This window comes from Homo sapiens, chromosome 10, assembly GCF_000001405.40.
Source record: "Homo sapiens chromosome 10, GRCh38.p14 Primary Assembly".
NCBI classification, from domain to species: Eukaryota; Metazoa; Chordata; class Mammalia; order Primates; family Hominidae; genus Homo; species Homo sapiens.
Genome location: NC_000010.11, coordinates 92,403,042 through 92,417,012, shown reverse-complemented (window position 1 = coordinate 92,417,012; position 13,971 = coordinate 92,403,042). Strand labels below are relative to the sequence as shown.

The 13,971-nt window shown below is 46.9% G+C and overlaps 1 annotated feature.

Moving 5' to 3' along the window:
* Positions 9,626-9,675: a silencer, noted in NCBI's record as "silent region_2616". NCBI's record gives its function as "represses an Ori minimal core promoter by ATAC-STARR-seq in GM12878 lymphoblastoid cells {active_cell/tissue: GM12878}" and the evidence as "EXISTENCE:reporter gene assay evidence [ECO:0000049][PMID:35858748]".

Below are 13,971 nucleotides of genomic sequence, written 5' to 3'. Positions count from 1 at the left end.
TTGTGAGATCCATCCATATTGTTTATTATTCTAAATGCTCATTGTGTGACTGTAACACAATTTGTTAATTTGTTTATTCATTTTACTGTTACTGGGCAGTTGAGTAGTTCTCAGTTTTCAGATGCTATAGTGCTGCCATAAACATTCTTGTTCAGGTTTTTGGGGGACATATATATGGCTTTCTGTTGGATATATATAAATATATTAAGGGTGTGGCTGAACAACCATTTGACAGTTTATGCTAACAAGGTGACTCGTGGTAGGCCCCTTAGGCCAGGTGATATCAGCCTGACCTCCAGAGAGTGGGGTGGGGGCTGGAGACTGAGTTCAACCACATGGACAATAAGTCTATCATGTAATGAAGCCCCAGTAAAAACTCTGGATGCTGAAGCTCAGGTGAGTGTCCCTGATTGGCAGTACTCTATATGTGTTGTCTCACACATCCAAATCAGCAGGGTAATGCATTCTGAGGACCCCAGAGGCTTCACATTTGGAACCCTCTCAGACTCTGCTCTATCAATCTCTTTCTTTGGCTAATTTTGATCTCTATCCTTTCCCTGAAATAAACTGTAACTGTGAGTATAACAGCTTTCAAAGAGTTCTGTGATTCTTTTTAGTGAATTTTTGAACCTGAAGGTCGTTTTGGAAACTTCCTGAACTTGCAGTTAGGTCAGAGGTGACAGAAGTCCTAAAACCATGCCCCCTAACCTTGTGGGACCTCCTTGCAGGGAGTATCAGAGGCTTGGGCAAACTTTGCAGTCTGGGAGACTGTGCTCTCAAACCTTGAAGTCTGGCTCACTTCAGATAGTGTAAAGACAAATGGCATCCATTAGAACAATGCTGACTCCTGAAATGTGGCTTGGCAAGAGGGCAGGGAATGAAAGACCTTTGATTCTGGATAACCATGGAGTCTCCCATGGTATGAAATGGCAGCTTTGTTGTGATCAGTTACTAGAGGTAAAAGTGTTTATCTTTTTTTTTTTTCTTTTTTTGAGATGGGCTCTCACTGTGTTGCCCAGGCTGGTCTTGAACTCCAAGGCTCAAGCAGTCCTCCTACCTCATCCTCCCAAGTAGCTGGGACTATAGGCCTGTGCTGCCATGCACAGAGAGGTAAAAGTTATCAATGGAATTTAGAAATGATGACTCCAACTTACCAACTACATAAGGAAATGCAAAGAAACACAAAGCAAAATATATAATTTCTAGTTACATATAATAGCTCAAATAAAATAAGGGAGGCTGGGCGCAGTGGTTCATGCCTATAATCCCAGCAATTTGGGAGGCTGAAGGGGGGGGGTGGATCACCTGAGGTCAGGAGTTCAAGACCAGCCTGACCAACATAGTGAAACCCCACCTCTACTAAAAATACAAAATTAGCCAGGCGTAGTGGCAGGTGCCTGTAATCCCAGCTACTTGGGAGGCTGAGGCAGGAGACTTGCTTGAACCTGGGAGGCAGGGGTTGCAGTGAGTGGAGATCATGCCATGGCACTCCAGCCTGGGCAACAGAGTAAAACTCTGTCTCAAAAAAAAAAAAAGAAAAGTCTTAATGCAGCACTCTCAGAAGCTGGGTGAATGGATAGGACCCCCTACTGGTTCTCCCAACAAGGGCCCAAAACAAATCTGCTTTATCCACCATAATCTGGAAGAATTTGGAAAGCCTCAAGGCAAAGATAACAATTATAAACCTGAACTTTAATAACCTGGAGTGATGGTCCCAAGTCTAATCAAGATAAGAACTAACAAAAGTATCTGGGTCCATGGCCAGGTGTGGGGGCTCCCTCCTGTAATCCCAGCACTTTGGGAGGCCAAGGCGGGTGGATCACTTGAGGTCAGGAGTTCGAGACCATCCTGACCAACATGGAGAAACCCCATCTCTACTAAAAATACAAAATTAGCCGGGTGTGGTGGCACATGCACCTGTAATCCCAGTTACTCGAGAGGCTGAGGCAAGAGAATCTCTTGAACCTGGCAGGCGGAGGTTGCGGTGAGCCGAGATCATACCACTGCACTCCAACCTGGGCAACAAAAGCGAAACTCCATCTCAAAAAAAAAAAAGAAAAATTATTTGGGTATGGTGGCAGGCAGCTGTAGTCCCAGCTACTCAACCTGTAGTCCCAGCTACTTGGGAGGCTGAGGCAGGAGAATCACTTGAACCCAGAGGCAGAGGTTGCAGTGAGCCAAGATCGCCCCACTGCACTCCAGCCTGGGTGACAGCGAGGCTCCTTCTAAAAAAAACACACACACACATACATACAATCTGGGTCTCTTGGCTTGACTCCCTGCTACAGTCCCAAGGCCATATGCACATGATGGGTAAAATGGTCAGGGGGTGGCATTTCTGGGACTCCTTGACATGTAAGCACTCATGCACTGTGATTCTGAAACCTATTGGTAAAGTCCTAATCAGGGCTATAGTTAAATTGGGAGGACGTAGGAATATAGGGTTGATTAAAGTGAAAGTTTGAATGATTAGTAATATGTTTGAACTGGCTTTATGGGAAGTGGTTGTGTCTCACTTACTTGAAGTTTTAACGGGAATGGATATTATATCTGACTGGAGAACACTTCCCCCACCTAGTATTGTAAAACAAGGCATGGAAACCTACCATTGTGCCCATACTGCTTGGACATCCAAATGAGAACCAATAAGATTGCATGAGCCCACAGAGCCCACACGTGTTGTTACTTTCAAGCAGTACAGAGTAGAAGCAGATGTGATGGTATGGACAAATTATCTGTACAATAGCCGTGGATGAAATACAGACTGAGGTTTATGGCAAAAGCCTATGAGCATCAGCCGGTAATGACTGCTGGGTTTTGGACAAGAACATTTCCATAAAGACTAGCTAGTTATTGGGCACTAATATTTTATGTCCTTTCATCACAGGAGTAGTCAGACTACTACTACTTCAGACTACTCCTCCGACTGAAGGATATCAAGTAATACTGAAACCTAAAACACCCATGATGTATTGGGTGGCATTGGCAAAATGCTCTAATGGGGAAGACAGTGCTCAGAAGTGTGCCATAATAAAATGGAAATGGTTTTACAGGAACCTGTTACCAGGGATGTGCAAAAAGTATTCACAAGCAGGGAGCCTCTTTTTCCCTAGGGCTGACCTTAAGACCACCTGAAGACCCTTTAGGCCCTATTGTCACTTGGGTGGTACCCTAATAATAGCTGTTGATTGACCAAAAAGAACTATCCGGATGTAGCTCTTGTATGGATGGCAGTTCTAAGGCAAATGGACCGCATCCTGTTTGGAAGGTTGCCACGCTGAAAAAAGTGGAAAGAACTCAGCTCAGTTGGCTGAACTGTATGCTGTCTGCCCCATGTTCAGGTTTTTACTGACTCAGGAGAGGTGCCAATACCCTGGTCATATGGTCAGTCAGAGTGATATAGGAGTTAAAAAGAAATTACTTAGGCAGATAGTGAGGGTACAGAAGTCCTCGATAAGGTTTTCCTTTTATGAAAAGCAGCCCCCAAATATTTTCTTTTCTAACAAAGAGCAGCCGGTAAAATCGAGCTGCAGACATAAAAAAGCAAGCTAGAATCTTGCACAGGTGAATGCCAGCAATTGCGCCAATAGGAAAAAAATGCTACCTGGGACTAGGCGTTATCAAAATGGTGGCTCCATCTTCTCTTTGCCAGCTGCCTGTACAGTAAGGAGCAGACGAGATGGCGCTGGCCAAGTGGAAAGAGCATAATCTTATTATGCAAATGGTTGCATAATAAGATTAGCGTGGGGCAACCATCCTTCCCCACGCACTATGTAAATGTAGACGTCACACCTGATCGAACCAATCTGTGAGCCCTACCTAAGTCAGACACTGCCTCCTCAAGCCTGCCTATAAAATCTGCTGCGGTTGGCTACCTTTCCCTATTTTTAGACGTCTCTCTCTCACAAGAGAGCTGGTCTCCTCTCTCCTCTCTTTTGTCTATTAAGCTTTTCCCTCCTTAATCCACTCCAATATGTGTGTTTCCTCCTCATTAATCTTCTCGGCACCAGATGACGACCCTAGGGCATTTACCCCAGACAATGATCCTGCTTCAAGAAGGCAATGGAAAACTGGTCTATTAAAGGGATGCTAGGCCGGTCACGGTGGCTCAGGCCTGTAATCCCAGCACTTTGGGAGGCTGAGGCAGGCAGATCACCTGAGGTCCGAAGTTCAAGACCAGCCTGACCAACATGGAGAAACCCGTCTCTACTAAAAATACAAAATTAGTCGGGCGTGGTGGCGCATGCCTGTAATCCCAGCTACTCGGGAGGCTGAGGCAGGAGAATCGGTTGAACCCAGGAGGTGGAAGTTGTGGTGAGCCGAGATCGTGCCACACTGCAGCCTGGGCAACAAGAGTGAAACTCCATCTCAAAAAAAAAAAAAAAAAAAGATGCTATAAGGGCACAGCCCTGTGGAAGTTACTATAAAAATCGAAGGGGTGCATTAAAGTAGGACATGCCAATGTCCATCAGAAGAACCCCCTTTCAGAATTGGAAGTTGCTCAGAGATGGCGAATGGATATCCTGGTGTGTTCACTTGAAATGCCCACCTTGATCCATGAAATGAGTGGATATGTGGGTACTGCAGCAATGCAGAGATGGGCTGAATCTAGACATGTTCTTTCACCCTCTGAAGTGCAAAATGCCAACAAAAGGCAGAGCCTGCAGATTGCTATGGGGGCAGATTCCCCGGTGGAGAGGCATTGCACATAGCTGGCAAGTTGGGAAGATGCCAGTATTCCCTGCAGGTTACGTATGGAGCCTGATGGAAATAGACACTCTGGTCCAGGTTTTGCATACTTGGTGATAGATGCAAATCCCCAAAATACTATGAAGGGACCAGAACAGAATATAGTGTGCCAATTTGGACCATTGAGTCATTTCTTCAGACCAAGGAACACACTTTACAGCTCATAATGTCTGGCAATGAGCAAAGAGATATCCTTGCCGGGTGCAGTGGCTCACGCCTGTAATCCCAGCACTTTGGGAGGCCAAGGCAGGTGGATCACCTGAGGTCAAGAATTCGAGACCAGCCTGACCAATATGGAGAAAACCCATCTCTACTAAAAATACAAAATTAGCCAGGCGTCGTGGCACGTGCCTGTAATCCCAGCTACTCAGGAGGCTGAGGCAGGAGAATCACTTCAACCCAGGAGGCGGAGGTTGTGGTGAGCCGAGACTGCGCCATTGCACTCTAGCCTGGGCAACAAGAGCGAAACTCTATCTCAAAACAAAAACGAAAACACAAAGTAGGGAAATAAAAGAATAAGTTCAGGGATTCAAATTCCCAGCTCAAGCACCATGTAAGTGGCCTGAAAATTTCTTTGTGTGTTCTGAAGAAGATACTTATCTCCCGTGACCACAGGGCTGAGAGTGATTAAAATCTAACCAAGAACTTCATCCTGATACTGGCTGAGTTGAACTTCCAGCCTTGCAGCATTTCTACTGTTTTTTTTTTTGTTGTTGTTGTTTTGTTTTTTGAGACGGAGTCTTGCTCTGCCACCCAGGCTGGAGTGCAATGGCGTGATCTCAGCTCACTGCAACCTCCGCCTCTTAGGTTCAAGCGATTCTCCTGCCTCATCCTTAAGAGTAGCTGGGACTATAGGCGCGTGCCACCACACCTGGCTAATTTTTGTATTTTTCATAGAGACAGGGTTTTGCCATGTTGGCTAGGCTGGTCTCGAACTTCTGACCTCAGGTGATCCACTGCCTCAGCCTCCCACAGTGTTGGGATTACAGGTGTGAGCCACCATGCCCAGCCCGTTTCTACTGTTAAAGTGAGGACATTGATTGGGAAGGAATGGGATCCTGAAAGTTGAACAAGGACATGCAGGAAGACCCTGATGAAGGGGTCATGAAACCCCTAAATTCTGATGAGTCTTCTTTGTCATTGGAGGAGACCTCCTCATCCCCAGTTATCGATGCGACTTGTCGTTCCCCAGTAGAAGCTGCCTTTCTACCCCTATTACAGGGGATTAACCCTGCATTGCCCAAGGAAACTGTAGTGGCCTCCCCTGAGGCAGTTGTTGTGCAAGACAACACCTGAGTCTCCCATCCCCACTACCTCTCTTTACTTCTAGACCTGTAATTTCAAGTCCCAGCAAGCCCCTAAAGGTAAGATAAAAAGTGTGATTGAAGGATCACATTACCCTCCGAAGGATCACACTACCCTCTGAAAGAACTACTTGAGTTTTCCAACTTACACACACAGACATCTGGGGAATGGATAGCAAGGGTATGGCTCAACAACCATTTGATAAAGAGATCATGGGTGCCACTCATGGCCTTAATCAGCCACATCAGCAGAAGCCAGGAAGAGAGATGAGATTATACCAGCAGAAACACTACTAGCCAGGGTTAAAGGGGACAGAAAAAATGAGATGAAATGAAGGTATGCTGTTGGACTCCTTAGATCCCTACAGGACCAGACCGTAGAGCTATTTGACTGTGAATATGCATTATTCTTCAAGAATAGAGAAAAATTAGCCCAAAGGCAATTCAGAGATCACCAGGACTGCCTCCTCAGTTCAAAGAGTGAGGCTATTGCCTTGATTCCAACAGGCAGGATGGCCCTTGCCTGAAGCTTTAGGGGTGAGACCACCATGCAGAGCCATGGGGGGTGGGACCCTCACCCAGCATAGCCTCATGGGTGGAAGTGCTGCCCCAGTTGGTCTAGAAGGAAGGCATGGAGCCAAAAAGATATTCTTGGGCCTAAGATATTGTGGAGGCCAGGCGCGGTGGCTCACGCCTGTAATCCCAGCACTTTGGAGGCTGAGGTGGGTGGATCACCTGAAGTGAGGAGTTCGAGAGCAGCCTGGCCAACATGGTGAAACCCTGTCTCTACTAAAAACACACAAAAAACTAGCTGGGCGTGGTGCTGTGTGCCTGTAATCCCAGCTGTTCGGGAGGCTGAGACAGGAGAATCACTTGAACCTGGGAGGTGGAGGTTGCAGTGAGCCAAGATCACACCACTACACTCCAACCTGGGCAACAGAGCAAGATTCCGTCTCAAAAAAAAAAAAAGATCTCATGGAATTTGCCTCACTAAGTTTTGGGCTTACTTAGGAACCATCGCCTTTTCCTTCATTCCTATTTCTCCCCTTTGAAATGAGAATGTCTGTCTTGTTTTCCCACTATTGCACTTGGAAGCACATAACTTCTCTGGTTTTCCAGGTTCGCAGCTGAAGAGAAATTTTCCCTCAGTATGAATCATATGAATTTTACTGATATCTGACCTAGATGATATTTATTTATTTATGTAAATTTTCTTTCTTTCTTTTTTTTTTGAGATGGAGTCTCGCTCTGTGGCCCAGACTGAAGTGCAGTGGCGTGATCTCAGCTCACTGCAACCTCTGCCTCCCTGGTTCAAGCAATTCTGCCTCAGCCTCCCAAGTAGCTGGGACTACAGGCGTGTGCCACCACACCTGGCTAATTTTTTGTATTTTTAAGTAGAGACGGAGTTTCACCGTGTTAGCCCTCGTCTCCTGACCTCATGATCTGCCTGCCTCGGCCTCCCAAAGTGCTGGGATTATAGGCATGAGCCACCGCACCTGGCCTCTTTTTCTTTCTTTCTTTCTTTTTTTAAGAGATGGTGTCTTGCTATGTTGCCTAGTCTGGTCTCAAACTCCTGGGCTCAAGCAATCCTCCTGCCTCAGCCTCCCAAAGTGCTGGGATTATAGACGTGAGCCACCATGCACAGCCTTAGGTGATATTTAGATGTAATTTTGGATTTAGAGTTTAGAGTTGATGCTGGATTGAATTGAGACTTTTAGGGTGGTTGGGAAGAAATGAATGTATTTTGCATGTGGTAAGGACTTGAGGTTTGGGGAGCCAAGACTAATTCTATGGACTGAATTACGTCCCTTCAAAAGTCATATATTGATGCCCTAACCCCTAATGTGACTGTATCTAAAGATAAGGTCTTTAGGAGATAATTAAGATTAAATGAGGTCACAAGAATGAGGCCCTAATCCCATAGGACTGTGGCCTTAGAAGAGGAAGAGACCTGCCCCCTCCTCCCATATGAGGACACAATGAGAAGGTGACTGTCTACAAGCCAAGAAGAGAGTCCTCACCAGAACCTGACCACGCCAGCACCTCAATTTCAAACTTCCAGCCTTCAAAACTGTGAGAAAATAAATTCTGTTGTATAAGCCACCCAGGATATGGTATTTGTAATGGCAGCCCAAACCAACTAATACAGGTATAAATGGAGAGAAGGACTGCCAGCTGGCGGTAAAGGAATTAGTAAGAGAGTTATGCAATGAGGGAACTCCAATATTAAACATACTGTTACACTGGTACCTCATGAAAGGTTCAGAGCAAGAGATGATATTATCTCTTAGCTCAATTATACTGAAACTGCCATTGCAAAATTATAACCGAGACAGTGAAAGATAATCTGACCTAACCAACATCACCTTGCTTCTAACCTCCAACCTGTCCTTGTTCATTCCTAGGCATAGGCTGAACTAATTTTGGGAGGAACTTAGTTTATAGTTTAAAACAGATTTGAGCCGGGTGCGGTGGCTCATGCCTATAATCCCAGCAATTTGGAAGGCTGAGGCAGGCAGATCACTTGAAGTCAGGAGTTTGAGACCAGCCTGGCCAACATGGAGAACCCAATACAAAAATTAGACAGGTGTGGTGGCAGGTGCCTGTAATCTCAGCTACTTGAGAGGCTGAGGCGGCGGATAGCTCGGAACCAGGAGGTGAAGGTTGCAGTGAGCCAAGATCACACCACTGCACTCCAGCCTAGGTGACAGAGTGAGATACCATCTAAAAAAAAAAAAAAAAAAAAAAACAAGCAAACAAAAAACCAAAGACAATAACAGCCCTCTCCCAAAACAAAACCCCTTCTTGCCTTAGGGACTAGACTGCCTTTGCAGAACTAATCAATTAGTCACAAGATTTAAAATTGTGGTCTAGGAGTCATGCAGCTGGAGGCTATGAAATTCTGACCCTCCTCAAATTGCTCCTGGGGACAACATCACTGTTGTAAAGCCCAAGATCAGTGCTTGAGATATTCTGCAGATCCTGCACTTAATGGATCAGCTGACACCACCCAGACCCATAAACTGGCTCATCTGATCTTGTGATCCCCACCCAGGAACTGACTCAGCGCAAGAGTACAGCTTCGACTCCCTATGATTTCGTCTCTGACCTGACCAGCCAACACTCCCAACTCCCTGGCCCCCCACCCACCAAATTACCCTTAAAAACTCTGATCCCCACCAGGTGTGGTGGCTCATGCTTGTAGCTTTGGGAGGCCAAGGCGGGCAAATCACTTGAGGTCAGGAGTTTGAGACCAGCCTGGCCAACATGACAAAACCCTGTCTCCAAAATTAGCCAGGCATGGAGGCACATGTGTGTAATCCCAGTTACTCCAGAGGCTGAGGCAGGAGAATCCCTTGAACCTGGGAGGCGGGAGGCAGAGATTGCAGTGAGCAGAGATTGCACCACTGCAACTCCAGCCTGGGCGATAGAGCAAGACTTTGTCTCAAAAAAAGAAAAACAAAAACAAAAAAACCTTTGTTCCCCAAATGCCTGGGGAGACTGACTGAGTAATAATAAAACTGTAGGGGGCACAGCCAGCTCTGCATGAATTACTCTTTCTCTATTGCACTTCCCCTGTCTTGATGAATTGGCTCTGGCTAGATAGCGGGCGAGGTGAACCCCTCAGGCGGTTACACAGGTACTGTATGAGGCTCCCATCCCCTCCAGACTTTGTCTTGACCTGTTGTAAAATCCAACTGCATGTATTTACTGTCCCTCCTATAGGAAGCATCTCTGAGATCTGAGTTAGGTAGCATTTGCTTTCAGCAAGAGAGCAAGGAGGGGGCAAAACCCAAACTTACACCTAGCTCCTTCTCTCCTCCATATCTAAGTGCCCACAGCCTTCACTGGTGAGGAGGCCTGCCTTCCCCAGCACAGCTCTGTGCACCAAGCTACCCTGTCATTTGGCAAGAGCAGATCAGGAAGTGCTGACCTCTTGGCTCAGTCTCCTGTGAGCCATTCCTGGGCTTGAATGAGATCTCTAGTTTAGAGAGGCAGCACAGAGGAACCTCCAGGTAATAATAAGAACCTGATACCGGCCAGGTGCGGTGGCTCACGCCTGTAATCCCAGCACTTTGGGAGGTTGAGGCGGGGGATCACGAGGTCAGGAGTTCAAGACCAGCCTGGCCAAAATGGTGAACCCCCGTCTCTACTAAATATACAAAAATTAGCCAGGTGTGGTGGCAGTTGCCTGTAATCCCAGCTACTCGGGAGGCTGAGGCAGGAGAATCACTTGAACCCGGGAGGCAGAGGTTGCAATGAGCTGATATTATGCCACTGCACTCCAGCCTAGGTGACAGAGTGAGACTCCGTCTTAAAAAAAAAAAAAAAAGAACCAGATACCAAAGAAAACACAGGACACCTGGCATCTGGTCCAGCCTCACTAACTGGCCATGTGAACCTGGATGAACCATTTGGGCTCAGTTTGCCTGTCTGTGAAATGAGGAAGGTTTTTTATTTTTTGTAGAGAAAGGGTTTCATTATGTTGCCTAGGCTGGTCTTGAACTCCTGGGCTCAAGTGATGTCTTGCCTCAGCCTCCCAAAGAGATGGGATTACAGATATGAGCCACCGTGCCTGGCCTAAGCCACTGAATTTTGAGGTGATTTATTATATTGCAATAACTAACTGAAACATGAGGAGAACCTGGTCACAAAATCCATCACATCCTTAGAGAAGTTAGAAAAAACATCTAAAATTCTTAGTTCTGGGCCAGGTGAGGTGGCTTATGCCTGTAATCCCAGCACTTTGGGAGGCTGAGGCAGGTTGATCACAAGTTAAGGAGTTTGAGACAAGCCTGGCCAACATGGTGAAACCCCGTCTCTACTAAAAATACAAAAATTAGCCGGGCGTGGTGGCGCACACCTGTAATCCCAGCTACTCAGGAGGCTGAGGCAGGAGAATTGCTTGAACCTGGGAAGCGGAGGTTGCAGTGAGCTGAGATCATGCCACTGCACTCCAGCCTGGGTGACAGAGCAAGACTCCGTCTTGAAAAAATAAAATTAAAAAAGTTCTTAGTACCTCTGGTTTCTTCTCTGGGTTCTTAATATTCTTCTTCCCTGTATTCCGGACACCATCTCTCCCCCAGCTCCAAGGTTACTGCGCCCCTGCCAGCCTTGAGATGAAGGTTCTGGGCTGTCTGTGCTCTGTGGCTCAAGCTGTGTTCTTCCCGATGCTGCTGTTGCTCTCCTCTCACCTGCACTTGGTGCAGGAGGAGCCAGTCCTTACCATGCAACCTTATGCCAAGGGCTTTGATTCAGCTGCTGCCTTGTAGGCTGTCATGAGGCCAGTTTCCCTTTCTCTTTCCCTTGGGGGTAGGGAGACAAGGGTGGCCCCTGGGGAGGATACTGGACTCCCAGGAGCAGATGCTGAGGAGAAAGGTAAGCCCTGATCTCACCCTCAGCCTGGGAACCTGGGCCATGCTTCTACTCTCTTCCTCGGGAGGCCTGCTAGAGACCCATGCTGCTCCAAGGGCCCTGGAAGCAGCCTGCGCCTCTGGAAGCTCGGCTCCCAAATCCAACTTCCTCCTTGTAAATTTCAGTCTCTCCCAGCCCTCTTGGGTCAGGATACCACGATTGCTGCAGGATCTGCCCTGGCTGAAGGTTTAAGAACTGCCAAACTTTTCATTAGAGAGCTTTAAAGAGGAGCAGAAAGGGATTGCACATTTTAGTAGGATCACTGTGGCTGCTGAGTGAAAAAGAGACTGCGAGGCAGCCCAGGCAGAACAGGAGGCTGGGCGGGAGGTGAAAGATGAGAGGGGTTTAGACTGTGGCTGGAGCCAGACAGGAGCCTGCAGTGTGTTGACATGGGGTTGGATTCCACGTGTATATTGAGGGTAGAGGCAGCAGCATTTGCTGATGGATTAGATGTGAGGAGCAAAAGAAAAAGCTTCAAGATTTAGGGACTGAGCAACCGGAAGGGTGAAGATGAACTGAGGTGAGGAAGGATGGGAAGAACAAGCTGGGATGCACAGGGGAAGAGAAAGAGCTCGGGATGCTGGATTGGGAATCCAGGAATCAAAGCCCTAATATCATGTCTGCCGCACGCTAATAACAACACTTAACTAATCACTTACATAGGCCAGGCCCTCTTCCAAGCACTTTCCATACATCATCTCCATCTCCTCATGATGGCCCTACAAGGTAGATTTCATCATCCTCATTTCACAGAGAGGAAACAGGGAGGCTAAGGGATTTGCTGCACAGGGACACAGCAGCAGAGCTGGGCTCGTAAGCAGGCAGAAAACTGCCTCCTGTTGTACATATATCCATTTCACTTGCTGAGCTTGTTTCCTCCTCTGAAAATCAAGAGGTTGGAGTGCAGATCTCTAAGTCCTGACACCGTAAATGGGCCCAGTGTAGGCTGTGGCTCTTTCTGGCAGAGGACATTTCATGCCAACACTTAGCACGTGGGCTTTCACTGCTGCAGTGAAAAGCAGTACAAAGAAAATACCCAATGACCCACATTCTGGTTTTGAGAATATTGTGATGTATTATGAATGGATCCTTCCGAAGTGTGGTTTGAACACCTAGTTAAATAATAATTCATTCCTGGATATGAGACATTTTGAAGGATAGGCTCTAATGGAATAATATTATGAATTGTGAATTGGAACATTAAATTAAATATGAAGTTACATTCTTTTCTGTCACCTCCAGCTTTCTTCTTGGGGGAATCAATGAATTTCTATAGAAAGCAGAGCTTCCTGAGCCCCTCACATGTATTTTTGTGTGTCTGTGTTTTTTTGTGTGTCTCATTAATGAGCCAATTAGTGGGAATAGGAGGAGAAACACAATCTCGTTGCAGGATTTTTTACTCACATAGTCCTCCGTAGCCTCCACAGGTGTTACACTCTGTTCAGGCGACTACAACAAAAATACCATAGACTGGGTGGCTTACAACAACAACATTTATTTATTTATTTAGAGATGCGATCTCTGTCACTCAGGCTGGAGTGCAGTGGGGCAATCATGGCTCACTGCAGCCTCAATCTTTCTGGCTCAACCAATTCTCCTACCTCAGCCTCCAGAGTAGGTGGGACCACAAGTGCACACCACCATACCCCACTAATTGTTTTTTTAATTTCTGTACAGGTGGGGTCTTGACTTGTTGCCCAGGCTGGTCTTGAACTCCTGGGCTCAAGCAATTCTCCTGCCTCAGACTCCCAAAGTGCTGGGATTACAAGCATGAGCCTGGTAAGTCCAAGATCAAGGTGGCAGCAGATCTGGTGTCTGCAGAGTATCCGCTTTCTGGTGTGCAGGTGACCATCTTCTCATTGTACTGAAGCAGCGTCATTGTCTGGGGTAAATACCCAAGGTTTGTTGTCTCTTGCCAAGGGAATGGAGGACATGGACACACAAGGAGTGAGTTTAAGAGCGGAGGTTTATTGGCCGAGTGCGGTGGCTCATGCCTGTAATCCCAGCACTTTGGGAGGCTGAAGTGGGTGGATCACTTGAGGTCAGGAATTCAAGACCAGCCTGGCCAACATGGTGAAACCCTGTCTCTACAAATATACAAAAATTAGTCCAGCGTCATGGTGCACGCCCGTGATCCCAGCTACTCGGGAGACTGAGGCTGGAGAATTGCTTGAGCCCAAGAGGCAGAGGTTGCAGTGAGCCAAAATCGAGCCACTGCCCTCCAGCCTGGGTGACAGAGTGAGACTCCATCTCAGAAAAAAAGGAAAAAAAAAAAGAGCAGAGGTTTAATAGGCAAAAGAGAAAAGAGAATAGCTCTCTCTCTCCTGCAGAAAGAAAGGGGTGCCTGAGTGGGTCTTCTGGTTTTGTGGTGAAATGCACTGGTTTTTATAGGAAAGCTGGAGGAGGGAGTGTCTCTGATTTACACAGGGCCCAAGAGATTGGTCAGACCAGGTGTGACATTTGGATAGCAGGTAAGAAGCTGGCCATCCCACCCTAATCTTTT